Source organism: Homo sapiens, chromosome 11, assembly GCF_000001405.40.
Source record: "Homo sapiens chromosome 11, GRCh38.p14 Primary Assembly".
NCBI classification, from domain to species: Eukaryota; Metazoa; Chordata; class Mammalia; order Primates; family Hominidae; genus Homo; species Homo sapiens.
This window is the reverse complement of record NC_000011.10, coordinates 65,773,842-65,799,290: the sequence shown is the minus strand read 5'-3', so window position 1 is coordinate 65,799,290 and position 25,449 is coordinate 65,773,842. Positions and strand designations below refer to the sequence as shown.

General features: G+C 59.5%; 3 protein-coding genes and 1 long non-coding RNA gene across 4 annotated transcripts in view, besides 12 other annotated features; 3 read left to right on the top strand and 1 right to left on the bottom strand.

Annotated features, from left to right (window-relative positions):
- Positions 1 to 10,290, top strand: part of LOC124902693 (uncharacterized) — a 44,799-nt gene extending 34,509 nt beyond the window's left edge. Inside the window, exons 5-7 of the mRNA XM_047427980.1 lie at positions 6,904 to 7,002; positions 8,207 to 8,529; positions 9,854 to 10,290. The gene's annotated coding sequence lies outside the window, so the exon portion shown is untranslated. The remainder of the gene's footprint in view (positions 1 to 6,903; positions 7,003 to 8,206; positions 8,530 to 9,853) is intronic.
- Positions 948 to 1,471: an enhancer, noted in NCBI's record as "H3K4me1 hESC enhancer chr11:65565291-65565814 (GRCh37/hg19 assembly coordinates)". NCBI's record gives its function as "activates a minimal SCP1, AML or CMV promoter by ChIP-STARR-seq in primed H9 embryonic stem cells {active_cell/tissue: H9 hESC(primed)}" and the evidence as "EXISTENCE:reporter gene assay evidence [ECO:0000049][PMID:30033119]".
- Positions 2,077 to 12,228, bottom strand: OVOL1 (ovo like transcriptional repressor 1). Its single transcript, NM_004561.4, has 4 exons — positions 11,818 to 12,228; positions 5,043 to 5,260; positions 4,564 to 4,753; positions 2,077 to 4,245 (listed from the first exon to the last, which is right to left on the bottom strand). The coding sequence occupies exons 1-4, from the start codon at positions 11,915 to 11,917 to the stop codon at positions 3,950 to 3,952; spliced, it is 804 nt and encodes a 267-aa protein (NP_004552.2). The 5' UTR covers positions 11,918 to 12,228; the 3' UTR covers positions 2,077 to 3,949.
- Positions 3,051 to 3,551: an enhancer, noted in NCBI's record as "H3K4me1 hESC enhancer chr11:65563211-65563711 (GRCh37/hg19 assembly coordinates)". NCBI's record gives its function as "activates a minimal SCP1, AML or CMV promoter by ChIP-STARR-seq in naive H9 embryonic stem cells {active_cell/tissue: H9 hESC(naive)}" and the evidence as "EXISTENCE:reporter gene assay evidence [ECO:0000049][PMID:30033119]".
- Positions 7,274 to 7,433: an enhancer, noted in NCBI's record as "active region_5005". NCBI's record gives its function as "activates an Ori minimal core promoter by ATAC-STARR-seq in GM12878 lymphoblastoid cells {active_cell/tissue: GM12878}" and the evidence as "EXISTENCE:reporter gene assay evidence [ECO:0000049][PMID:35858748]".
- Positions 7,614 to 7,773: an enhancer, noted in NCBI's record as "active region_5004". NCBI's record gives its function as "activates an Ori minimal core promoter by ATAC-STARR-seq in GM12878 lymphoblastoid cells {active_cell/tissue: GM12878}" and the evidence as "EXISTENCE:reporter gene assay evidence [ECO:0000049][PMID:35858748]".
- Positions 8,423 to 10,290, top strand: OVOL1-AS1 (OVOL1 antisense RNA 1). Its single transcript, NR_108085.1, has 2 exons — positions 8,423 to 8,529; positions 9,854 to 10,290. It is a non-coding gene; the product is annotated as an OVOL1 antisense RNA 1 (long non-coding RNA).
- Positions 12,542 to 13,523: an enhancer, noted in NCBI's record as "H3K27ac-H3K4me1 hESC enhancer chr11:65553239-65554220 (GRCh37/hg19 assembly coordinates)". NCBI's record gives its function as "activates a minimal SCP1, AML or CMV promoter by ChIP-STARR-seq in primed H9 embryonic stem cells {active_cell/tissue: H9 hESC(primed)}" and the evidence as "EXISTENCE:reporter gene assay evidence [ECO:0000049][PMID:30033119]".
- Positions 16,944 to 17,601: an enhancer, noted in NCBI's record as "H3K27ac-H3K4me1 hESC enhancer chr11:65549161-65549818 (GRCh37/hg19 assembly coordinates)". NCBI's record gives its function as "activates a minimal SCP1, AML or CMV promoter by ChIP-STARR-seq in primed H9 embryonic stem cells {active_cell/tissue: H9 hESC(primed)}" and the evidence as "EXISTENCE:reporter gene assay evidence [ECO:0000049][PMID:30033119]".
- Positions 17,862 to 18,601: a silencer, noted in NCBI's record as "silent region_3556". NCBI's record gives its function as "represses an Ori minimal core promoter by ATAC-STARR-seq in GM12878 lymphoblastoid cells {active_cell/tissue: GM12878}" and the evidence as "EXISTENCE:reporter gene assay evidence [ECO:0000049][PMID:35858748]".
- Positions 17,862 to 19,241: a biological region, named in NCBI's record as "H3K27ac-H3K4me1 hESC enhancer GRCh37_chr11:65547529-65548431".
- On the top strand, positions 18,315 to 25,393 carry AP5B1 (adaptor related protein complex 5 subunit beta 1). The gene is made up of 2 exons (NM_138368.5): positions 18,315 to 18,849; positions 18,949 to 25,393. The coding sequence occupies exons 1-2, from the start codon at positions 18,700 to 18,702 to the stop codon at positions 21,433 to 21,435; spliced, it is 2,637 nt and encodes an 878-aa protein (NP_612377.4). The 5' UTR covers positions 18,315 to 18,699; the 3' UTR covers positions 21,436 to 25,393.
- Positions 18,331 to 19,233: an enhancer, noted in NCBI's record as "H3K27ac-H3K4me1 hESC enhancer chr11:65547529-65548431 (GRCh37/hg19 assembly coordinates)". NCBI's record gives its function as "activates a minimal SCP1, AML or CMV promoter by ChIP-STARR-seq in naive H9 embryonic stem cells {active_cell/tissue: H9 hESC(naive)}" and the evidence as "EXISTENCE:reporter gene assay evidence [ECO:0000049][PMID:30033119]".
- Positions 18,642 to 18,821: a silencer, noted in NCBI's record as "silent region_3555". NCBI's record gives its function as "represses an Ori minimal core promoter by ATAC-STARR-seq in GM12878 lymphoblastoid cells {active_cell/tissue: GM12878}" and the evidence as "EXISTENCE:reporter gene assay evidence [ECO:0000049][PMID:35858748]".
- Positions 18,972 to 19,241: a silencer, noted in NCBI's record as "silent region_3554". NCBI's record gives its function as "represses an Ori minimal core promoter by ATAC-STARR-seq in GM12878 lymphoblastoid cells {active_cell/tissue: GM12878}" and the evidence as "EXISTENCE:reporter gene assay evidence [ECO:0000049][PMID:35858748]".
- Positions 21,042 to 21,946: an enhancer, noted in NCBI's record as "H3K27ac-H3K4me1 hESC enhancer chr11:65544816-65545720 (GRCh37/hg19 assembly coordinates)". NCBI's record gives its function as "activates a minimal SCP1, AML or CMV promoter by ChIP-STARR-seq in naive H9 embryonic stem cells {active_cell/tissue: H9 hESC(naive)}" and the evidence as "EXISTENCE:reporter gene assay evidence [ECO:0000049][PMID:30033119]".
- Positions 25,394 to 25,449: the final 56 nt, after the last annotated feature.

Here is a 25,449-nt window from a genome sequence, read left to right as displayed (position 1 = left end):
TCTTGTATAGTTACCAGTTCTTCCTGACACCTAGGCGGGACTAGAAAAATGCCTACAGTGTGACTGGCTGAATGAAGAGGCATCGGCTTTAGTGGAAACAGGGACGCCTTCCACCCCGCTCCTGGCTTCGCTCATCTCCCCTGGTGTCTGAGCCCACTTTCCTTCCCCGAAACACCTCCTCCTCTGTTCTACTCACATCCTCCTGTTCTTCCAGCCCAGCCGCAGACCCACCTCTTCCAAGAAGCCTTTGTTCTTTCTGATGCAAAAGACTGCTTTTGGGTTCCATAGTGTTTGTAGTTTGGCCACGCCATTTGTTCTGGGTTAGATAATCTCCTCTCTTTTTCCCAGTCAGCAGAGCCCTGTACACTTTTCATTTCCCTCACAGCTACAATCCAACAGAGCCTGGAGAATATTCTGGGCCTGGAAATGTGACTGGCCCCGCCCTGCTAGGGAAGAGCTCTTCTGGGTGGCACAGGGCACGGCACCCACCTGAGCTCATCTGAGGCATGGGAGGGAGTACAGAGGCTCAGAGGGAGCCTCTTCCACCCCTACACTGCCCCTGCTTCCTGGAGGCTGTCCTGCCTCCTGAAGTTCATGTGGTGGGTAGTCCCCTGGGTTCCCAACAGCGGGATGCACGTCTTGGGATAGGAAATGGGATTTAGTTGGCCTTTCACAGAGAGGCCTCTCTGGATAAGAGAAATCCTTCATGGCCAGCTATTTAGAGACAGAAAATTGGTTGGGGCCCTTTTTAGTCCTGTGGGCGGCTACAGGGAGCCTTGGAAAAGGATGTCTTCCCTCGCCTCACAGCGCCTGGTACCAACCCTTCCCACGCCTCCTGGAACAAGACCAGCGTCCCAGACCTGTAGCTTTCTTATCCATCTGGCCAGGCCATGGTGGAAAACACGAATTGGGACCCAGGGACCAGGGCCCCCAAAGAGATCAGTCTCCCAGAGCAATCCTGGTAAGCGATAGGGAAAGCCAGGCAAGCTCCAAATTTCCTAGTTTGAATTGCCTAGAGGGACCCTACGTCCCTTCCTGCTTTCTCCATCCATAGCGTGAGCAGTTACCGAGCAGACCCTGGGCCAGGCCAGGCGGGTGGCAGCCTAGCTCCACTGCTGGTCAGTTGTGAGACACTGTGTCAGCTACCCAAATTCTGTCTGCCAGGGTGGGGGTGGTCACAGAACCTGCCTCAGAAGCGAGTTGAGTCAAGTGAGCCAATATACATAACACACTTCTGAGTGTGCATGGCACAGCACAAGGGTTGTGCAGGTGCAGCCGTCCCTCGGTGCATGGACACAGGTGTGGCCGTCCCTGGGTGCCTGGACACAGGTGTGGCCATCCCTCGGTGCATGGACACAGGTGTGGCTCTCCCCAGGTGCCTGGACAGAGGTGCGGCCATCCCTCGGTGCGTGGACACAGGTGTGGCCATCCTTAGGTGTGTGGATACAGGTGTGGCTGTCCCTCGGTGCGTGGACAAGGTGTGGCCGTCCCTAGGTGCGTGGACACAGAGTGTGGCTGTCCCTAGGTGCCTGGATGCAGAGTGTGGCTGTCCCTAGGTGCGTGGGCACAGGTGTGGCCATCCCTAGGTGCATGGACACAGCATATGGCTGTCCCTAGGTGTGTGGACACAGAGTGTGGCCGTCCCTAAGTGTCTGACCAGAAGTGATGTGAGCTTTGCACCCTCTTTTTGGGACTGTGGCTCCTTCTGTGGTCTAACCCTGGGAGGGTCCTGGGAGGCCAAGACTGGATCCCCGGGTGACTACATAAAGCCTGGCGGTCTCGGCCTGGCAGAGGTAGATGCAGGGTAGTATGAGGCTGATGGATGGAGCTCAGGGCGCCCCGCTGCTGCCGCTGCTGAGAGCAGAGCATGCTAAACCAGGACTCAGCAGGCAGTGACTGTCTGAGGCCCTGGGCAGGTCACTTAAGCTATCTGGGCCAGGCTCTTGTCTTGACCAGGGCCCCCCAGTGACCGTAACGAGGAAGGGTTTGGATAAGAATGTGTCAATTGTTTCCATTACTTCTCTGCATGGGGAAAAAGGGGCCCATAAGACAAAAACATCGGAAACACAGAAAACATTAGATCTCTAATTTTAATAGTTGAGAGGAAGGTTATAAAATAAAACAGACAACACAGAGCTTCATGACGGCCTCGGATTGGCAGTCAACCCAGGGATACAGAAATGTAAACAAAAACAGAGCTTCCAGATAACATTACTGTGTGCTATGTGACTTTCAGAATACAGCAGCGTCCCAGACACTCTAAAGTCAAGTGAAACAAGAGATTTTAGAATCAATCTATACACATTTCAGAGGGCAGTCCAGGAAGGAGCCTTCCTCTCAGGTCAGCCCAGGGCTGGGCCTGAGCCTGAGCCCGGGGACGTGTAGACACTACCCATTTTGGGCAGGGGAGGCCAAAGTGGTTCTGCTTCAGGTGGGGTTTGGCTTTAAGGGGCTGCCCAGCTGGCTGTGTTCTGGGGACCTCTTTTGCATTTGCCTCTGGCAGGCTGGCTCTGACCCCTGCCTGTTTTTCCCTTTGGCCCACAAGACGCACACCTCTTTACACCCAGAACCCCTTTCCCAGCTGCAGCAAGGGAGCAAGGGAGCCAGCCAGCCAGCCAGGACGGGTCTCCCCACAGCCACTCCAAACCCCAGCCTGGTCAGGTGAAAAAGTCAGAAAAAAGGCAACAGATACAATTTGGTAGCCATCAAATCCTCTCCTCCCTCTGGAAGTTTCTGAGGTGCTGGTCATCATTCTGTCCCATTTTTTGCCACTGTGCTAAGGCTTTTGACTCAACCAAGAAAAGGGCCGGTCTTCCAGCCTGGCCCTGCAAGAGTGTCCTAGTGCTTCAGGTAGTGGATGGGCATCGTCATTCGTCCCACCTTCCTGCCCCCTAAAGCCCCAGGAGGACACACTCTCAGCATCAGGCCAGCTCTCCGGGTCACTGGGGCTTGGCTCAACAGGATGTGCAGGGCAGAGCCGGGAGGGAAGAGCAGAAGATGCCATGGGCTGTTCGCAGGAGCAGCCGTCCAGGGCGCCGCTGGAGGAAGATCTTCTAGTGGCTGTCTCAGCACGTACAAAGAACGGGGGTGGGTTGGGGCAGCCCCCGCCCAGAGCCAAGGCACAGAGGAGGTTTGAAATGTCCAGGATAAATAGAAGCGCACGGGAATGGAGAAAAGCCAGCTCCATCCCACTCTTAAAAACATCGCCATTGGCACCAAAAATATATTAACATCTGTACATTTGTCATCTTTAAAAAATAAAAGGAAATAAAACCTTCTTGGCACCTTGTAGTTTATTTCTTAGAAATGAGGTGATATGTGGAAAGGCTTCCTGTGCGTGCACACACACACAGCAGTGCACACACACAAGCACACGCACACACACGGCTGGGCACACATGTGTGCCTCTCCTTGCCGGAAGGACAGAGCCCTCCAGAACCCTGAGCATTAGAAGCCCTGCCAGGTGGGGGGTCTGCTGCCAGCCCCCACCACAGTTGTTTGCAGGGGTACCCTTTGCCAGTGCTTTTGACTCTGATGTCCACTGGGGACCTGCAGCCCCTGCCCTGTGCTGAGAGGCGGGGGCAGTGGGATCCTAGCTCGAACCTCCTCTGGGTAGGAAGTCCTGCTGCCAGGCACACAGTGCCTGTCTCTGTGGGCGGCTGCTTCTAATTGAAGGCAGCCTTGGCCTCATCCCTTCTCTTGACATAGGTACATCTTCCCAGGCTCAGAACAGCCTCGGCCCATAAGTCAAAAATGCAAAAATGAGCAGAGGTCATTGCTGGGCCTGAGTGAGCACGTGTGCCCAGGGGGGAGACCAAGGCACGGGGGCTCCAGTCCTGATCACTGGTGTTCGGGTGAGAGGTTGCAGGAGGGTGGGCTGGCCAGGCAGCTGGGAGGCAATCCTGGATGCTCTTGGGGCTTCCAGGAGCACCCCCAGGGCTCGAGCCACTCACAGGTGGGGGCTGCCCTGCAGCAGGGAAGTGACAGTGTTCTGTAGTGCCACGGCCACCTTCTTGGAGGTCTTGCGCAGCAGCGGGCTGTCAGGGTGGTGCTCCTTCAGGTGCAGGACGTGGCCCTCCTGGCTCTCAGATGTGCAGCCGCACTCCTCACACACGTACAGCTTGGCCCGCCGCTCCTTGTACGCGTACTTCTGCTGCACACCATGGATCTTCTTGAGGTGAGACTCCAGAGAGCAGCGCTGCGTGAAGGCCTTGTCACACAGGCTGCACTTGTAGGGCCGCACGCCTGTGGGGAGGACAGGGGCCAGCATCAGAGACCTGGCAGGGACTTCAGAGGCTGTCGGCTGCTTCCAGACACAGAAAGGACAGGACCCCTGCCTCTAGGGCCAAGGGATGGACGGAGGCCTGTCCAACACCAACTTCCCGAGTGACTCTCAAATCAAAACTCCTAACTGATGAGCTCAGGAGGACTTTGGCCCTGAGCTCCGGGATGCCCTCCCAGGCTGCCCGTCACCGAGGGAGAGCAGGGGGTGCTGGACTTTTCCCGCACGGCCGCGGCCAGGCGGATCCGGCGTGCTCCTCCCAGCCGTGGGCTTCCACTTACCAGTGTGAGTTCGGACGTGTCTCTTGAGGTCGAAGGTGTCATTGAAGCCCTTCCCGCAGTACGTGCAGAGGTGCCTCTTGACGTCGTTGTGACACTTCATGTGGCGGTTCAGCATGCGCTGGTAGGTGAAGGCCTTCTGGCAGACACGGCAGGTGAACAGGTCTCCACTGGGACTGTCCCCAAGGGTCACCTGTGGGTGAGGACGGCATTGCTGACAGACATCCAGAAGTTGGGGCCACAGGCTGGCAGATTGGGAAGACGTGGATGCCAGCCCCCAGTGTCCCTGAGGAGGGTGGTGCCCACCTCCCAGAGACCACAGCTCTGTGCCGTCTGCCCGGAGATCGGCACTCCTCTGCAGAAACCTTGGCCCAGGTCCCAGGTCAGTCTCTGCCTACATCTCATTTGTGCCATGTCTCATGAGCTGGACGCAGGTCTACATGCACGCCCCCGGCCCTCGGAGACAGCGCGAGTGGCATTACCTTCATCTTGGTGCGCAGGAAGCCATGGTCTCTGCTCTGGGGGTCTGTCAAGTGGCCCATGTCTTCAGAGGGCAGCTGGGCCACCACACAGGGCCCGGGGGCCATGCTGTAGCTAGAGTCTCGAAGGCTCATGTTCAAAGCCAGCGGGCAGGAAGGGGGTTCGGCCACAGAGGGTTCCGGCTCCCGGTAGGGCTGTGGTGGGCAGAAGCCCAGGCTGACTGGGGAGAGAACAGACAGGTGAGAGGCTTGGTGGAGAAGAGAGGGTCCAGCGGGTTTCTGGAAACTTCCCTAGCCATGAGACGGCTGGAACCTGGAGACTCCGTCCCTCCCATCGCAGGCATGCAGCAGAGCGGGGCTGCCCCGACCACCACTGCTGCACCGCCTTCCCGCCCTATTAAGGTAATTGCAGGTGATGCCAGCCAAGCGCCACTGCCCGCTGAGTAATTTGTGTCTTAGCGGAACTGGGAGGACCGAACTGCCCTGCCAATTATCCCTCCGGAGTTTTCTGCCTGCCCCACCTGGGCTGGTCCCTCTGAATTCCAGGCCTCATCCACTCTCCTGCAGGGACAAAGGGCACCAGTGGAGACCTTCTGCCCAGGGACAGCTCTTGGAGCCTCATCAGAAGGGTCCCTGGTGGTCTGGGCCACTCCAGGCCTCTCCAACAGATTTGGCTGCTGGCCTTGGGGGTTTGGGTGGTCCTAGCCCTGCCTCCCACCCCCACCCCAGCAGGCCGGTCCCTGCTGTTGCACCCCAGGGCTCCAGGCTCTCCACTCCCAGCTGGTCCCAGCTCTGCAGGGAAACAGGCCAGGTGGGTGGAACAGGGAGGAGGTCAGGGAGCCGCAGGTGGATGCAGCCTAACAGTCTCGGCAGCCTGCCCAGGCTTATGCAACCCTCCCCCTCGGCAGGACCGCTCGCCGGGGCATGTCGGGCTGGGCTCCCTCAGCAGCGGCAGCACCGATACCTGGCAGCCCTTGGATGCAGCCACGCCCCGAGGCAGACACCTCACACCGAACGGGCCGGGGAGGCTTGGCTTCAGACCCTGAGCCCAGTGCTGACTAGAGAGGACCAGAAAGAGAGCACTCTCGAGGGACACAGACAGGCAATTCTCAAAGCCAACAGAGCCGGGGCAAATTTTTCAACTTAATATTTTTCTTCCAAAGAGCCTGAGCTCAGTACTTGAAACCTGTAAGCTAAGGACATCTTCCAAGCTTCAGAAGGAAAAATCACGAGGGGCCTATGACCAAAAGGATAAGTGAGCTTCCGAGGGAGGCTGATGTGGGATTGCAGAAGCAGGAGCACGGCCCTGTGCACCCTGCCATCCCACAGCCGGCGAGACAGAGAACGGGCTTGGGCCTGGGCAGGAGGGCTGCCGCCCTCACCTCTTCTCCCAGGAGGACAGGGACATGGGGGAAGCAGAGAAATGTGATTGTGGAGCAAGGGTGCGTTTGACAGTGCTGAAGTTTCGGGAGAGGCCCCAGCTCTCGCCCCCTCAAAACACAACAAAGGTCTGAGAGAGAAGAATGCACCCGCCGCCGCCCAGAACCCGTCCTGCAGGCACTGGCGTCCGTCTGTCCGGGGGCCTTTAATGAGCCACCTCATTCCTAGGGTTGATTCACCAGCGCCTGGCCCCGGCCTGGCCTCTGGGCTGGCATTGCACCTTTCTCTGAGTCTGAGTGTCAGGCTCAAGTCGTCGGGGTCTGGCTGTCTACCCAGGCCTGTTCCCCTGCCGCAGGAGCTGTCTGTGCCCACAGGGCTGGGGGTGGGCAGGGGCGATGGTGAACTTCTGATGCAGGCTCACCAGCTATTGGAGACCTTGGCTGAGAATTCAAAGCTGGATGACAGTTTTCATTTCTCAATCCAGGTGGAGACAAACAGGAACCTCTACCCTCCTCTGCCTGTTAGTACTGGATGGTGTGAGCGAGGTCCCCCAGCTGCACCACAGCAGGGCAGGAGACAGCAGGTGAGGGACGGGCTGAGCCCACAAGGGTGGCTGCTCTGGGCTGCCTTGCTCCACGAGAGGGGAGGCTCATGGTTAGGGTCCTGAGATCCATGCATTTGGGAGGAGACCTGTGTCCTTTGCCCACCTCTGCTGTTCCACACAAACCTGGCTGAGCTGGTGCTGGGAGACCGGGGCCAGGGAGTGGGCCTGCCTGCTTTGGCTCTCTGGTCCACCTCCACCCTGAGCGAGGGGCAGAGGAGGCTGGATGGGCGGCCACCCGCTGCCAGGGTGGGGATGTTTGCCTCATCCCACCCACCCTGCCAAACCTGTCTCCCTGCCACCCCCATGAGCGTGTCCCTTCTGCGGCCACACGCACAGGGAGTGCACACTGGCGTGCCACCTGGCACTGAGTGTCGCTGAGTGGCAGGAGGCAGGAAGCAGAACTGGTTGGGCCCTGCTTGTGGTGCTCTCTGTCCCTAATTAGATGTTTCCGGCAAGGCGGTGGCGCTATGACTACTCATCACCCGCCCACAGCTGTGGAGTATGGCAAGGCCAAACTAGCTTGGCCCTCTTCCTACTGCCTGGGGGCTTATGGGTCCCCTCCTGCTGGCCCTACTTGCCTCTACCTGGACAATGTTGAGGGCCAGGCTCAGAGCAGAGGCACGGACACCGAGGGACTGTGTCCAGGGCAGCTGCCCATCGAGGCCTGTCTCCTGCCTTGGCCTCTGTAAGTCCTCCATCTCTTGGATGGAAAGCTGCTGGCCCAGATGTTGGGGAAAGTGCCGGGTCCCCCCATCCAAGGCCTCAGGACAGGGCTGGGCATGAGGCCTGTCCCTGGCTCTCTGGGGAGAGTAAGTGAAGCAGATGCAAGGATGACCCCCTCCTGGGCCCCACTGACCACATGGGTGCTGCCCCAGAACATGGGGGTCAGCCCAGTTCTGAAGGTGAGACGGGGGCCCAGCATGTCAGCACAGTGCAGCTGGTTCTCAGCAGCCTTGCACCCTTATCAGGAAGGGCTGGTGCCCCCCGTGCCCATCTCCTCTGGTCCCCATAGGTCAGCTAGCAATCATCCAAAAGGACCCAGCACCAGCCAGAGGCAGGCCGGCCCGGTAACGCATGGGCCAGTCTCTTGGCCTTCTGTTTCCACGCTGTGAACTGCCACAGGTCGCCTCAGACAGTGTATTTTCCCTCTTTCCCAACCGCTTTTCACTGGGTATCCACAAAGAAGTTAAAACTGTGCCTCGGCCCTCGCGCCAGGGTGCCCGCCCAGAACAGTGGGAGCAGTGCTTCCTGTTGCAGCCCCCACCCAGCCAGGCACAGGCCCAGTGCCTCTGTGGGACTCCATCCAGGACTTGTTGAAATGGCCGATGATACAAAGGAGCCCCGACTTCACCCATGGCCAGCTTCCCTCGCCATCCTCCCTGCAGCCAAAGGACTCGCCCTCACCTGTTCTTTCTGAGACAAATCATCTGCCAGGTTTCCGCCTCGGGACACCCAAGCTCAGCACAGACAGCCTAGCAGCCTGGGTGACAGGATCCCAGGGGACAGGTAGGAGTCTCATCTAGCTGGCTGCCCAGGCCCATGCTGCTCTTCTGTCTCTGTCCACTGTGTGGCTGTCCACTCTCCCAGCCCCGCTCCCTGGCAAGCACAGCAAACATCTCCTTCGCTGCCAAACACGGCCCAGGAATGACTACAGGGTAACCATCCCATCAGAGGCCGGAGCTCTCACTATCCTCACTCCCGACACATCCTTGGGCCCCAAAGCTCACTCTCAGCTTTCCTGACCAGCTGGAAAGAGATCTGCCCAAGTGCCCACACTACCTAGTGGTAGAGCCAGGCTGGACCACATTCCTTGAAGGAAGCTCCAGTGTCCCACCGCCCAGCCTGCTGGCCTCCCTGAGCTCGAGTGTCCACCAGGCGAGTGGCAGAGCAGACTGTGGCCAGCCCAGTGACAGAGGGGAGGCTGGGAAGCAGTGGTGGGAGGCCTGGGAGAGGCCCTGGGATGCTCCTTGACTCCAGCTTCCAGCCTCAGTCTGTCCTCAGGTCCTTTCCTGGCCTGGAGATTTCACTCAGCATGGGGTGGGGCTCGGGGGAACCAGCTTCAACCCTGTTCCTGGAGCCCTTCCCTGGTGGGTCCAGGAGGTAGAATTTACCCCCTGGGTACAGGTGCCTAGGTTTATCCTCAAGGAACCAGCATTACTCCCTGTCACTCCAAGTCAATATTGACATAACAAAGGAAGGCGAGGGGAGGGTGGTTGGGGGGGTGGGTGGGGGAGCGGTTCAAGGTGGCTTCCTAGCCAGTAATCCTTTCAAATCTCCAGGGTGCTTGCAACCATCTTCACCTCTTCCCAGGGGAAAGATTCTGCCCCGGGAGTAAGAAGCTCTAGAATTCTGCCTTGGGGAGAGAGGCTGATGGGATTGTCAAACTGGGGCCCTGGAATCAGTGCTGTCGGGCTGGGGACCAGTGTCTCTGGCCTGTAAAACCTTCTCCCAAAACCTTCTGGGAGGCTTTGAGGGTCTCAGAGGAACCTGGCAGGAAGGTCAGAACTCAAACACTCCCACATTCCTGGGCCCTCCACTGGAAATGGGGTCAACGCTTAGCTGGTCACAACTTACCAGGAATCTGTGAGGTGAACGGAAACGTGCCCAGCTGGCTCTGGGGTCATGGTTGGCTGGTGATGGAATGGCCCAGCCAGGGGACAGGCCAGCACAAAACGCACCCCCACTCTCCAGCCATCTGAGGCACCCGAGCGTGGACTGAGGACAGTCCCTTTCTCATTGCCAAAAACTGTGGGAAAACTCTCCAGTGGGCCACATGACTTTCAGAGGTAAAATTAAGTTCTCTATCTTCTACCCTTTACTTGACCCACAGGATTCTCTCCTTGCCATGGGGATGAGGACAAATTCTCCCTTCATCCTTGAGATTGGACTCCCGCCACACATCCTGGAGGAGCCTACAGAGAAGCCGGCAGGTCTCCCTCACCTGGATGGTGCCAGCGGGTGGCCTGGACCACCCAGAGGCCCTCTCCTGCACCTGACAGGAAGCCCCTGGGGCATACGTCTCCCCTGCCACTTCCACTGTGGCCACTGGAAGTGTGGCAGAGAAAATAGCTAGGACAAAAAGAAGTCAATGATTTCAACCAACGGAATTTCTTTGTCCTTTGTAAAAATCAACACATGATCTGTTACTGATTGGGATGTGAAATAAAACTAAAAATAACAGCACACTGAGCCTGGCTCAGGGCTCAGCTCACCTTTACCACGGTCCAAGTTCAGTTTATCAGATCCCAAGGAGCAGCTAAGCAGCAAGTCAAACACAGGTGAGGGTGGAGGGCGGAGGGCGGAGCGGGGAGGGGGCTCTGGCCCTCTGCGTGCCCCCACCAACCCCCAGGTAGAGAACCAGCCAGCTCACCAGGGAGTGTGGCCAAGCAAGAAGCTATACACAGAATTCTGAGCCCACACCCTAATCTGCCTCAGGTGGGGAGGCCACTCACTTCCCTTTTTGCCTCAGTTTCCCCACTGGGGTTACCAGGGTCTTCTGGCACATTCCCTTGTTTTAAGGAACGGTGGAAGAGGGGTCCCCTTGAGATCAGGTTAAGCTGTGAAACATCCTGCCAGCGCCACAGGCCACTGGGTCCTGGAAGGTCAGGCCACAAAGACCTCACCAGGACACTGTCTCCAACAGCTTATTCAGGAGGGAAACTGAGCAAGAGCCCTCACGGGGCCCCTCACTGCTGCCCTCATTTCCCCACTTTCCTACAAGGCCTGGGGCGGTGCCAGGGAGTCTGCAGATCAAGGGTCAAAGTCAGTTGGTTAATTACTCCTCCCCTCCCCCCTCGGAGGGGCTGGGCTGGGCGTTCAGAGCGTCCACGCCCCGCCCCCAAGGCCTGGGGAGGGGGCGTTCGGAAGGAAGCAGGCTTTCTCCAGACCAAAGACTTTGTTGGGGGTGGGGGAGGACAGAAGGGGTAGGAGTGTTCTTGGGGCGTTCAGGGGAAGATGCCGCTGGAGGAAGAAGCAACTCTCACAGTCGACGCTGTCTAGGCGTCTGCCAAAAATAACTGGGTACACCAGCTTCCCCGGGCCTGGCCCTCCGCTGTGGGGTGGGCTCCCTGCAGCTGCTTTCCATGCAATTGTGCCCTCCGCAAGGTGAAGGAAGTGCGTTTCTAGCAGAGGTGAGACCCGATCCCACCTCTGCTTTAAGGGCAAGCGGGGCGCAGCGGGCGCCTGTCCCACCGTCTCGGCTCACTGCGCGGGACTAGCAGCCGGAGCCCAACGAAAATTTGGGGGCCCACGCCCCCCACCGGCCCGACCCTCACTCCGACCCGGCCACCAGTGTTGTGGGGGAGGAGGAAGGACCTGTGCGAGCGGCTGAAGCTCTGAGCTTTTAACACAAATCTCGGCCGAAACTCCAGCCCGCTCCCCGCCCCCCAAAGTGGCATCGCTCCAGTGCCTTCTCCCGCCTCATGCGAGTCCCGGTTTTCTGGATTTACGACGTCGGAGCCGAGGGTCGCCTGAGCGGTGACACACCCCGCTGCCTCCTCTGTGCCGCGGTTCAGGGGGTGGGGGTAGGCGGTTCCGCGCCCCCTGGCCCTGGGAGCGGCTCCCCTTCCACCATGCAGCCCCCGCCCCGACCAGCGCTCTTCCGCCGGCCCCGCCCCCGCCCCCCGAGTCCCGGGTCGAGAGCCGCGGGCCCACCCAGCCCAGGCCGCGGCCGCATTCAGCCCCGGCGCCCACACCGCGCCTGCCGCCTGGCTCCGCGGACCTGCGCCCGCCCGCCCGCCCGCAGCCTCGACGCCGCCGCGGGTGCCCCAGGCCGGAGGGCGGTTGGAGCCTCACCTGGCACGTAGATCTCGCCGCGCTCCTCGTCGGGGAGCTCGCTCCAGTTCCTCTTGCACGTGGAGACGCACGGCTTCTTCACCAGGAACGCGCGGGGCATTTTCGAACCCTCGTCGCTGGACACGGGCCGCTTCCGTAACTGAAGCCGGGAGCCGTCCCACCTTTGCGGGGCCGGGCTGAACGCCGGGAACGGGGGCACAACAGGGAAGGAGTCGCTAAGGCGCCCCCACGTTCCGGGGAAGGTCCGAGCCCGGACGGCGCGCGGCGGTTCCACCTCCGCGGAATGTCGCCGTCTTCCCTGAGAACGAGGTCCCTTGCGGCCAGGTGCACCGGGCGGCGCGGGGAAGCGGCAGGTAAGCGTCTCCCGGCTCGACTGGCGTCCCCGCCGCCGCTCGGGAAGTCTTAAAGTGCGAGCCGGACGGACGGGTTCACGCTTTATTGGCTCGCGGCGGTGTGTGTTGGTGGCTGGGGCGGGGGGGGGTGGGGGTGGGGGGCGGTGATCTGATCTAATTAGCTTGGGGTGGCCCGGGGAGCGACGGCGCATGCGTTGGGAAATAACGGTGACAACCCACCTATTTGTTACCTGTCGAACCGGTTTCCATTCCGCTGCGGGTGAGGTGGCCTCGCGGCCCGGGCGGGGCGGCCGGGCGGGGCGGGGTCGGGGGGCGAGCTTCGGGCACTCAGCCCCTGGCTGCCCAGCCGGCCCGGCCCCCGCGGGACCTCCTAGCCAGGCGTACTGGCGTTTGCAAACAGGAGTTTCGGAGCGAGCGGAGCCGGGAGGGAGGGGGCAACGTTATTTGCACCGGCGCTGGCACGCTCCGCGGGTGATGACACGAAACTCGCCCCACTGGGGCCGGCCCAACCCGGCGCGCCCGAGGCTCCTGGGGAGGCGCGAAGCCGCCGGGCGGGAACGGGCGGCCCGGTCCGCACTTGTTGAACCGGGCCTGGGCCCAGGCGGCGCGGGATCCCAAAGGCTTGGCTAAGCAACTCGTGGCTCAGCCGGGGAGGTGTTTGCTGGGCGCCGGCTTTGTGCGAAAAGGCACGCAGGGCCGCAGGAGCGGCCCCGGCCGGTGTGTGGGGAGGCACGGACCGCGCGACCGAGTACCCGTCGGAGAACCCGCCTTCTGCCCGGAGGGCTTCACGGAGGAAGTGGCTTCAACTGCGCGGAGTGCGCCGAGAGCCCGACAGACCCCCGTGTCTTGGCCAGTGGGACTTATGCATCCTCAAAAAAACTCCTCCTTGTCCCAAATGGGTGGATTTCAGGTGCAGCCAGGCTGGTGGAGCGCGGAGGGCTGGGGACCTCAGACCGGGAAAGGCTCAGCCGCCTTTGCCCTGCTGCGGCCACCGCGGAGAGCTTCCTACCCACGGCCTGCCCAGGGCTGAGGTTCAGCCTGGGACCCGCGCCCCCAGCCACTCTTCATACTCTCCTCAGGCCCCAGGCCCACGTGGAGGGATGCCCCCGCTCCTCAGAGGCCTCCATGAAGCCCACACTCTCATCGTGACACTTGGGCGCTGGCTGGGCTTCCTTCACTCGCTGACCTACTTAAGGGCAGGGATGGGGCGTTCGTGTTTGCCTCTTCCCCTGCCTTTCTAAGGGCTGTGACCTCCACTCTGATCCCAGCCAGACCTTTGAGTTCAACTGACATTAAGTGAACACCTGGTATGTGCCTATCTTTTGAGGTGAATCCAGGAGAAACAACCTTAAACACAATCTGTCTAGGACAGAGGTGCAGTTAGTTCATTCATTCAACAAATATTGGTTGAGCAGTTTTGTTGTGCCAAGCCCTGATGGGCTGGTACACAGTGGGTGCTCGGTGGATACTACGGTGAAGTCTTCACAGATGTCCCTAGACACAAGGGGCAGTCTTCCCCATCAAGGGAGCAACTCCAATGTCCAGAGGGACAGGACACTGGGTAGATAAAGTGAAGCCAGCCAGGGGAACCCCTCCCTGCACAAGTGAGTTACAGGATGTGGAATGGGGCCCCAGGTGGGAGGCGGTGTTGTCTACTGCTATATCTCCAGCATCTACAGCTGTGCCTGGCACAAAGTGGGTTATCAATAAATGTTTGTTGAATGAATGAATATCCTCTTTTCTTGACTCCTGTGACCCATTCACCTTTCACAGTCCAACTTTTGGTGGAGACATAGATATGGGAAGACAATACTACAAATTCAGTGAGAAAACACAACTGGCCCTGGCCGTTGGGGAGAACAGAGTTGGGGGGACGGGAGAGAATGTCCCTATCTAAACGGCAGTCACAATCCTGTCATTCAGATGCACAAACCCCACGTGGCCACAGCTTTCCATTTTCCAAGAGAAGCCAGAAGTCCAGATTTGTAAGTGAAATCAACTAATTTTTAAATGTTAGCTCAATTTTTTTATTTTTAAAATAATTTTAAGAGTTGGGGTCTCACCAGGTCGCCTGGCTGGAGCACAGTGGTGCAATCTCGAATTACTGGGCTCAAGTGATCCTCCTGCCTCAGCCTCCTGAGTAGCTGGGACTACAGGTGTTTGCCACCACACCCAGCTAATCAAAAAATTTTAAAACATGGAATGGATCCAACAAAACACCTTTGTGGGTTAGGTTTGACCCACAGGCCGCGGTGTGTGGTGTGGCTGTCTTCACGGGCAGCTCAGGAGACAGACGATGTATGTGACGGCGGGGAAACACGGAGTTGAACTGTGAGTGTCACGAAGGCTGGCGGCCTGTGCTCTGTTCACCACATCTAGCAGTACATCTCTGTTCATCTAGCAGCACAGTGCCAGCTAGATGGTGTTCATTCATCCCGTAATTCTTCCCTTAATTCCTGAGAACCTGCTGTGCCAGGCACTGAGATTCTACAAGGCAAGGCAGACAAAGAAACAAGGAAACAAGCAGAAGCCTAAGATGCACAGAGAACATTTGGCGAGAGAATGTGATGGTGGCAGGTAGGGGTGCTGAGGCCTGAATGAGAGGGTGGAGCCAGCTGTGCAGAGTGGAGAAGATCATGACCAGCAGAAGGAACAGCTGATGCCAAGGCCCTGAGCAGGAGTGAGCCTAGTGTGTACCGCGAACCCAAATGCAACCTGGCCGTGCGGTGGGGGGAAGAGAGGGTAGGGAAGCTGAGGTTGGAGAGGCAGGTGGGCCACACGAGGTGCTCTTAAAACCCAGGCCAGGCCTCCCCTCGGCTCACACCCTCCAGTGGCTTCACTGCAGCTGGAATAAGAGCCTGAGGCCTGGCGTGCTGGGGCCGCCGTTGACCTCCCAATCCCCTTCCAGCTGGGTCCCTGTATGCCAGCCACACTGCTGTCTCCCGCGTCCCCTGAACAAGCCTTGGCCTGTTCCCAGCTCTGGCCCCTCCTCCCGATGCTCCTTCTGCCTGGAACACTTTTCCCTACTGGATTACTGGCCACCTTTCTTCATTCAGGTTTCAACCAAATGTCCCCTCTTCTGAGGGGCCTCTCCATCCACCCCAGCTAAATCCTTGTCCCCTGCCACCTCTGTCCCACTATCCTATTTTCTTTGCCACAACTTTGACTCTGTGGCGTTTCGTTTGTCTTTCTTGTTTATTGTTGGTTCTCCTCCCCACCAGTGCAAGTTCTGAACTTGAGGGACCCCTTTTTATTTTACTTTTTTATTTTTATTTATTTTTTTTGAGACGGTGTCTCCCTGTCGTCCAGGCTGGAGAGCAGTGGCGTGATCTCGGCTCACTGCAAGCTCCGACCCCCTGGTTCACGCCATTCTCCTGCCTCAGCCTCCTGAGTAGCTGGGACTTACAGGCGCCCGCCACCATGCCCAGCTAATTTTTTTGTATTTTTAGTAGAGACGGGGTTTCACCATGTTCTCCAGGATGGTCTCAATCTCCTGACCTCGTGATCTGCCCGCCTCAGCCTCCCAAAGGCTGGGATTACAGGAGTGAGCCACCGTGCCCGGCCTTATTTTTTATTTTTACTTTTTGTGCCCCTGCTGGTCTGGGGTGGGACCCCTTTTTAAACACCATTTTAAATAGCTTTATTTAGATAGAATTCATATACCATCAAATTCACCCTTTTGTAAGATGTACAATTCACTGGTTTTTAGTAACCTCACAGAGCTGTACAACCATCATCACTAAATCTCAGAACATTTTCATGGCCCCAAAGAAAACCCTGTACTCATTAGCTGTCACTGTGTCTCCCTTCCCCCTGGCCCAGCACCCACTATCTGCTCTATCTCCATGGCTTTGCCTATTGACTCGTTCTTTCCTAAGCCTTCCTGTATCCCCAGCAGCCAGTGCTGCGAGAGTGTGTTTGTTGTAGCCCGATTTTACAGATGAGAAAACTGAGGCTCAGGACCCCTTGGGAAGCTGACTTTCCCTTTTACAAGCCTTGTGTTTAGTGTCTGCCCACAACTGGGCTGCATGGGGAGGACAGAAACTCAGCAGGAGAAGAAATGAGGGAGGGCGTGGAGTGGGGAATTCCCAGCTCAGCATCCGGCAGTGGCCCACACCTGGGCCCTCGACTGGGATGTTGCTGTCCCGGGTGAGTCCGGTGACAGTCTGAGCTCAGCTCCATGCCTGGCCTTGCCAGGGACAGAGCCAGCACCACCCGCCAATAGGGGAGCAGACAGGTGAGAACAGGGCCCATCCAGGGACCTGGACACCCAAGAGGGCCGAGGGTACCTGGTGTGGGGGGAGGACCAGGTCAGATGCAACAAGGGGCTGTTTGTGGAAGTCGAGGCTCCACCTCTGAGGGGCTCTGTGACTGAGAGACCGTACCTCTGTGGGCTTCCCTTTCCTCATCTGATACCCACTCTCGGTACCTGGGGTTGCTGTGAGCCTCAGTAAGTCCATGCGGATTCGTCCACTGCAGTATTGGAGACCACAAGTGGGTTCCCTCCCTCCAGACCCTCAGCCTCAAGGAGTCAAGACTCAGGCAGGAGGTGTGCAGAGGCCACGCTGTCAGAGGCTGAGCCGGGGCCAGAGCCAGTGTCAGGCCCCCTGATCCTTGGAAACCTGTCTTCTCAACTCTGCAAGAAGTTTAATGATCATTCCTGCCTCACCGTGAGGGTGGTGAGGGCCGGGGATGTGCAGTTACCAGCACCCTCTGGGCTCAGACAGAGAAACCAGACTGGCTCCTACTGCAGGCTGCCTCCCCTCCCCAGGGCTGCTCTCATCCTGCCTCTTTCATCTTGGGTTTAATTAGCCAGGCTGCCTCACCCCACAGCCTCTTGGGTGGGAGTTATCACTCCCATTTTATAGATGGGGAAACTGAGGCACCTAGAGGGAAGTAGTTTGGGGCTGCTGCCTGTGAGTCAACTGTGGAGCCAGGGCCTAGAGGAGCCGGGACCGGGCCTTCTGGCTGGACCTGTCCCTCCGAGTGGGTCTCTATCTCTCCATCCCCAAGGGCACCCAGACAGCCTCCTTTTTGGCACTCTCCACCCCTCAACTCTCCACCACCTCCCATCTGGAGCAGGATGGGGTAGGGAGAGGCCAGCTGGCACTGGCTTGCATGGGGGCTCAGGCCTGTTTCATCTTCAAAGCGGCTAATTGGAGCCAGAGGGGTGGTGAGGTTTGGGCGCCGGCGGTTCTGTGCCCTGGAAACCGGTGGTCTGTGGGGCACCTGCAACCTGGGCCTCTGGCCTGGGAGAGACCGCCGCCCAGACCCCCGAATGCCCCCAAACAGCCAGAATCCAGCCCACTGAAGTCTGGAGTGCTGGGTTCCGGCCCGGCTTGGCCCCAGATCTCGGTTGGCAAGGCCGCCCTCCTCCTGGGCCTGTTTTCCCCATCGCTAGGCATGCCTCGAGCCCCGTGACCGGCCAGGCCCTGACAGCCCGCACTTCCCGAGTATGGATCCCGTTGTTTTCGACTTAGGGCCCTGCCCCGCCCTCGCCGTCACGACCCCTGCGGGCCGCCAGCGCGGCCTCGGGCAAACAAAGGTCAGAAGCTCCTGGCTGGCCGCAACCGCGGCGCCGGCTCCTCGCCCCCAAGCCGAGCGGGCTGGGGGCCCGGGCAGGCGTCAGGGAAGCGAAGCCAAGCCCTGCGGCGCCCGCCGGACCGGTTCAGCTGGGGCGCTTTTCCTGCGGGCGCCCTGCGACCGCACCTTGGTCACCCCCAGGGGCCACTCCGGGAGCCCCAGGACCCGCACCCACGCCCCCCGGGGCCGCGCGTCTGGCGCAGGGTGCGGTGTGCCCGGGCGCCGGCGGGGGGCGCGCTGGCTGCCGCCCTGCGCGGCTTGGCGGGCGCTGGTGGGACCGGGCCGCTGTCCGCCGAGGGCCGCGGGATCGCAGCCCTGCGCCGCGGTACCCGGCATCTGGGGCCCAGGCCCACCCCGCTCCGCCACCCCTACCCACTCCCCTCCGCCTTTCCTGCCCCGGCCTGCGGCGGTTTCGGGGAAGGGGGCCTGCGCGGCGGGACAGTTAGTCAGCCCCCGCGAAACCTGCGAGTCGACACCTGCGGGAGGCGGTGGCCCCGTTACGCCCCGCCCCTCCCCGCCCGGACTCGGCCGCCCCCGCGCCGCGCCCCGCCCCGCGCCGCCAGCCCGGAAGGAGCCGGCCGGCCTGAGTGCCCGCGGCGGCTGAGTCAGGCGGCGAGCGCGGCCCGTTACCGCCGGCGCCGGGGGCCGGGGTGGCGCTGTGGTTTCGGTGCGGGCCGCGGGCGGGAGGGAGGCGGCCTAACGAGCTCTCGGCACGCACCCTCCCCCGCCCTGCTCCTGTCCTGTCCCGCGAGGGCCCCGGCGCCCAGCTCTGGCGTCGGCCCCGAGAGCCCTGGTCTCACCGTGGGAGCCGGGCGCGGGTCCCGCCGGCATCTGCGCGGCGTCTGGGGGTGACCGCAGCCCCTCGGGGTCGGCAGCGGGCCCCGCGCTCCCGGTGGCTGCGGCCTGAGGGTCCCTCTTCCCTGCGCAGGGGCCCGCGCGCCTCACCATGGGGCCCCTGAGCCGGGACGCCTGGGCCCAGCGCTTGGGGGCCTTCCGGGCCAGCCCGTCTGCCTTCATGGCAGGTCCCGAGGGGGAGGATTTGGGTCGCGACCTGCTGAGCGACCTGAGAAGTGAGAAGCTGAGCGAACAGACCAAGGTAGGCCCCCACGCGTCCCCTGCGCCGTTCCGCAGGGTCACCCCAGCCCGCCGCGTCATGAACCTCATCTTCGTGATTCCCTCCTAATCCCCCATCCAGGTTTCCCTGCTGGCCCTGAGCATGGAGTACCCTGCGCAGCTGTGGCCCGACGCCTCTGCGGCCGAAGTGGCCGCCACCTCCCTGTTGGACACCTTGGTCCTCCTACCCCCGCGGCCCTCAGCTCTCCGTCGGCCACTGCTGCTGGCGGCCACCACTGCCCTGGCGGCGGGCGGCGCGCTGGGCCCCACCTCGGGCGCCTCCTGCCGGCTCCTGCCCCTACTGCTCGGCCTGGCCGCGGGTAGCGATCTGGGGCGAGGCTTTGTCCCCGCCTCGGAACAGCGCCCCTTGCAGGCCACGGCCTGCGAGTGCCTGCGAGAGCTAGAGAGCTGCAAGCCCGGGCTGCTGGGGGGCTCCCTGGGGTTGCTGCGGGGCCTGCTGGGGCAGGAAGGCCCTGTCCAGCCACTCAGCCTGTTGCTGGCCCTCGCTTTGCGCAACACCTTGGTGCTCCAGTCCCGGGTTGGGGCTGGCCTGGGGGGACTGCTCACGGATAAGGTCTCCCCAACTGGGGGTGGTCCCTGGGATTGGACACTAGTGGAGGAGGGCGATGGACGCCTTCAGCCCCAGGCACCCAGCTGGCCGGCAGCTGAGGAGGGAGAGGGGGAGCGTAGCCTTACAGCACGAGAGCACAGCCCTGAGGAGGCGCGGGAGCTGCGGGCTGCGGTGATCCAGCTTCTGGACACCTCCTATCTGCTCACTCCTGTGGCCCAGGCCCAGCTCCTGTGGCTGCTGGGCTGGGCCCTGCGGGGTCTGCAGGGACAGCCACCGGCACTCTTCAAGCCGCAGCTGGTACGGCTGCTAGGCACAGCACAGCTGACACTGTTGCACGCCATGCTTGCGCTCAAGGCGGCCTTTGGTGAGGCCTTGTTCACAGCCCAGGATGAAGCGTTGCTGCTCCGCCGGCTCACCTTGGCTGCCCAGCACCCTGCTCTGCCTCCGCCCACCCATCTCTTTTACCTTCACTGCGTCCTGAGCTTCCCTGAGAACTGGCCGCTGGGCCCTGAAGGTGAGGAGGCTGCCCCACTGCTGCTAGGGCCCCAGCTATGCCGTGGTCTCCTGCCCAGTCTCCTGCATGACCCAATGGCCCTCCTGGCCCGCCTGCATTTACTGTGCCTGCTCTGTGCCGAGGAGGAAGAAGAGGAGAAAGGCCAGCTTCCAAGCCCACGGCACTACCTGGAAGAGCTGCTGGCTGGCTTGCGGCAGCGGGCAGCCCTGGATGGGGGCCCCCGGGCCTTGGCCACTCTCTGCTTCCAGGCCTCGTATCTGGTGGCCTGCTGCCTGGCTGGGCAACCTACGGTGCTGACCCCCTTGATCCACGGACTGGCCCAGCTGTACCAAGCCCGGCCCATGCTGGCTCCCCACTTTGTGGACCTCTTGGATCAGGTGGACTCTGAGCTGAGGGAGCCCCTGAAGGTGGTGTTGCGGCAGGTGGTGGTGTCCAGGCCGGGCAGGGATGAAGCTCTTTGCTGGCACCTGCAAATGCTGGCAAAGGTGGCAGATGGAGATGCCCAGAGTGCTACCCTCAACTTTCTACAGGCCGCGGCTGCCCACTGCACGAACTGGGACCTACAGCAGGGCCTGCTGCGGGTCTGCCGGGCGCTGCTGCGGGCAGGGGTGAGGGGCGGCCTGGTCGACTTGCTGCAGGTGCTGGCCAGGCAGCTGGAGGACCCTGATGGGCGTGACCACGCCCGCCTCTACTACATCCTGCTGGCACACCTGGCAGCACCCAAGTTGGGGGTGGCCCTGGGCCCCTCGCTTGCCGCACCTGCACTGGCCTCTTCACTGGTGGCCGAGAACCAGGGCTTTGTGGCAGCACTGATGGTGCAGGAGGCACCGGCCCTGGTACGGCTGAGCCTGGGGTCCCATCGGGTCAAGGGCCCACTCCCAGTGTTGAAGCTCCAGCCGGAGGCGCTGGAGCCCATCTACTCTCTGGAGCTGCGCTTCCGTGTGGAAGGACAGCTGTATGCACCCCTGGAGGCTGTCCATGTGCCCTGCCTGTGTCCTGGCCGCCCTGCCCGCCCTCTGCTCCTGCCTCTGCAGCCCCGATGCCCGGCCCCCGCACGGCTGGATGTCCATGCCCTTTACACCACATCCACTGGTCTCACGTGCCATGCCCACTTGCCACCCCTGTTCGTGAACTTTGCCGACCTCTTTCTGCCTTTCCCGCAGCCTCCAGAGGGGGCCGGGCTGGGCTTCTTTGAGGAGCTCTGGGATTCCTGCCTGCCAGAGGGTGCTGAGAGTCGTGTGTGGTGTCCACTTGGGCCACAGGGCCTGGAGGGCTTGGTGTCCCGCCACCTGGAGCCTTTTGTGGTGGTGGCCCAGCCTCCTACCAGCTACTGTGTAGCAATCCACCTGCCCCCGGACTCAAAGCTGCTGCTGCGGCTGGAGGCGGCCCTGGCAGATGGAGTGCCTGTGGCCCTGCGGACCGATGACTGGGCCGTGCTGCCCCTGGCGGGGGACTACCTCCGTGGGCTGGCGGCTGCTGTCTGAGCCCCGGGAGACCAGGTGGGGGCAGGACTGTGGCCCTTGTGGGGGCCAAGGCACACTCCTGTAGCTCTGTCGCCAAAACCCTGCATTCCGCAGTGCCCTCGCTGGCTTGTTTTCTTTTGGGCCCCGGTTGGGAGCAGGCTCCTGGGGGTGAGGGTCTGTCTGAGTCTGTTTTTGCTGCTCTAGCAAGATCCCTGAGACGGGGTAAGTTATAATAAACAGAAATGTATTGGCTCAGAGCTCTGGAGGCTGGGAAGTCCATAGTGGAGGGCCCAGAGCCCAGTGAGGACCCTTCTGCATCTTCCCATGACAGAGGACAGAGTGACAGGAGTGAGGGGAGAGAGCGAACCCACTCCCAAGATAACGGCCTGAGTCCACGCAGGAGGGCAGAGCCCTCGTGGCCTGACCACCTCTTAGGGTCTAATCTTATACTGTTACAGTGGCAATCGCATTTCAACGTGAGCGTGGGAGGGGACAAACATTCAAACCATAGCAGGGTCATAGGCCCCAAGAAGGCTTCCAGACAGAACCCGGCACTGTAGAGCTACAGAGTTCCTTCTCACCCAGACACACTAGTGCTCTCCAGAATCTCTGCCCAGGAGGCAGGGGAAAAATCTCCTTTCTGCTTCCCAGAGAGGGTCTGGCCTTGCCCAAGGCCACTCAGTGATTTAGGAAGAAGGCTGAAGCTAGAGTGTGGACCTGACCTGTTGGACAGTACTTTTCTTTCTTTTTTTTTCGGGGAGGGGTTAAAGACAGGATCTCACTCTGGCGCTCTGGAGTGCAGTGGTGTGATTAGGGATCATTGCAGACTCTGCCTCTCAGGCTCAGGTGATCCTCCCATCTCAGCCTGCCTCCGAGTAGCTGGGACTACAGGTGTGAGTCACCACTGTATTTTTTGCAGACAGGATCTCCCTGTTTCCTAGGCTGGTCTCGAACTCCTGGGCTTAAATGACTCTTCTGCCTCAGCCTCACCAAAGTGTTGGGATTACTGGTGTGAGCCCCCACACCTGGCCGAGCCAGCGCTTCTCAACTCCCAAGGTTTGCAAGCTCCCTGCCCCAGGGAGCTCACGCCAGGCAGGCCAGTGGGCCTAAGCCAGAAACAGAAAGACAGCAGTGGCCAGGTGGAGAGCTTCCCAAGCTGTGCCGATTAGAGCCAGCTCTAGGAAGGGCCTGCTAATAAGGTCTAGGGTCTGAGACCAAGTTTTTTCTAATCTCAGCCCCTAAGAAACCTAATTTGTGCTTAGGAATCTTCCCAGGTAAGAAGAACTAGTTCCTCTAGTTGTTGTTTTTTTTTCCCAAACATGCAAACACTGAGGATTGAGCTGTGTGGGGTCAGCTGTGCTGCCAGGCACATGTACGTTGCCTCATTTCATCCTTGCAACAGCTCTGCAGGGCCCCGCAGATGAGGAAATCCGTAGGCAGGAGCGGTTGAGTGATTTTCCTAAGGTCACCCAGCTGTTTGGTAATAGTGTTTTGTCATCTGGTAGCAGGTTTCCATTACCATGCCATCAGAGCAGACCTCAGCCAGGGCCACAGAGGTCCCAACCGTCTCTGCCCTCTTCTGCTGCCCCTGCCTCATGGGCTCCCAGCCACAGGTTCCCCATGGGCCAGCTTTACGCCTCCTGATCCTTCCGATTGGGGCAGACTAGGAGAGGAAAGACGGGCCTGGGCTGGGTGCGGTGGCTCATGCCTGTAATCCCAGCACTTTGAGAGGCTGCGGCGGGTGGATCACCTGAGGCCAGGTGTTTGAGATCAGCCTGGCCAGCATGGCGAAACCCTGTGTCTAATAAAAATACAAAAATTAGCCGGGCGTGGTGGCGGGCGCCTGTAATCCCAGCTACTTGGGAGGCTGAGGCAGGAGAATTACTTGAACCTGGGAGGCAGAAGTTGCAGTGAGCCGAGATCACGCCACTGCACTCCAGCCTGGGCGACAGAGCAAGGCTCTGTCTCAAAAAAAGAAAAAAAAGAAAGGGCCTGGGACAGTGGTACTGTTAATAGGTGGAGTCAGGAGGCCTGTCTCAAACTTGAGATGTGGCAATAACTTGCTTTGTCACCTCGGCAAGTCATTTCCAAATCAGGAAGGGGTCAGTTTCAGGAAACAGAAACTTCTCCAGCTGTTTTTGGCAGAAGGGGATTTAAGGGAATCAGGGTACTTAAAGTACATGGGAAGGCTGGAGAAGTCGCCTCCAGGAAGCTCCCACTGGAGCTGGGATCAGAACGTACTGTCCTGCCTGCCATCCCCTGTAAGCACCCAGGAAGCTGGGCTTGGGCCCTGGGACATGGGGTGGGACTGCCACTCCTGCCTCCTGACACCCACAAAGCCAGAAGCGTGGTGCTGCTGCAGAAGGACTGAACATCTCCAAGGCTGGGCCCGCAGAGCAAACTTCCTTGGCCCTGTGTCCTCCATCCATATCCTTCAAAGGACACCTCATTAGTGGACTCCATTTCTCTCTTCCACGGAACTCCAGTGGCAAGGGAATCCAGAAACGTTTTCTTTTTGCCTGGAGATGCTAATCCTTAGCCTAAGAATAAGGAAACTGGTCCATGTAAGGACTGACCATCCTTTCACCCATCTGTCTGCCCACTTGTGCATCCATCCCATTTTATCCATCCATTCCTCCAGTTGTGGACACCAGATGACTTTCAGCTCCCCCTACCCCAACCAGAACTTTGCTGCAATGGCCATTCTTATATGCCCCTATGGACCCATGGGACAATTCTCTGGGATACATGCTAGGAGCAGAATTGCTGAATCATAGGGAATGCATGTGCTTAGCTTGGCTAAGCAATGTTGGAGTAAAAGCTTTTGGTTTTGCATCTTCTCAGCACTTCTAGGGAGGCACCAAAAGGGAGGATGGCACTGACTGAGCCCACCTGAGATAGCTCCTAGACCCCAGCCCTCTGTGTCCTCAGAATCACACACTGCTGCTCATCACTTCAGCTTCCCGAAGATCATGGCAATAGCAGCATGCCTGTAACTGTCCCAAGTACAACCAAAAATTCTTCCTAAAGAGAGGGAACCAAAGTCACACGGGTCACCTTGTCCACCTGTGTGGACGTTGCTCATGTTCACATACCCTTCCTTGCCTCCTTCAAGGCAGGTCTGGCCACAAGCCCAGCTCTGGCTAATGAAATGTGAAGGGAGTCAAGGGCCGGGGGCGGTGGCTCACACCTGTAATCCCAGCATTTTGGGAGGCCGAGGTGGGTTGATTACCTGAGGTGAAGAATTTGAGACCAGCCTGGCCAACATGGTGAAACCCGTCTCTACTAAAAATCCAAAAATTAGCCGGGTGTGGTGGCGTGCTCATAATCCCAGCTACTCAGGAGGCTGAGGCAGGAGAATCGCTTGAACCCGGGAGGTGGAGGTTGCAGTGAACTGAGATTGGGCCACTACACTCCAGCCTGGATGACAGAGCAGGACTCCGTCTCAAAAAAGAAAAAAGAAATGTGAAGGGGTCAGTTTTGGGGCAAAATATGTCATTGCCAGTGCTCAATTTTCCAGCCCTCTCTTCCTCTGCCATGACCGTTGGGGAAGTACATGTTGAGATGGAGGTGCTAAATAGTTGAGTCATAATCTCACCTGGATACGCTGTAACAAATGCCCTGGATTATCAAATCAGTTATGTAAACTAAAAATCCTAAAACCCCACCGACTGAACAGATGCCACCTCGTGGCCGAGGGAATCTCAGAAAAAACTTAAAACAATTCCTGGCCCTGATGGGTTGGGAGGTCAGATGCAACTTGTTATACCCCATCCCTTTATGGTTTAGACACAGCTGCCGAGCATGAATGAACAAAATAGGGATCATGAGATGGACAGAACAGACACTGTGGCAATAAGATACCAAATTGTAAACAGGACCTAAGGCCATGCCAAGCAAGGGTTAAGTCATGTAGAGCCCACCTTCATGCCCCGCCTCCCCTGCCCCCAACTTATGAATAAACTATGTTCTAACTGCACAAGGTTTTTTGTTTTTGGTTTTTTTTTCCCTGTAGCAGCTAAAAAGCTTAAAAAC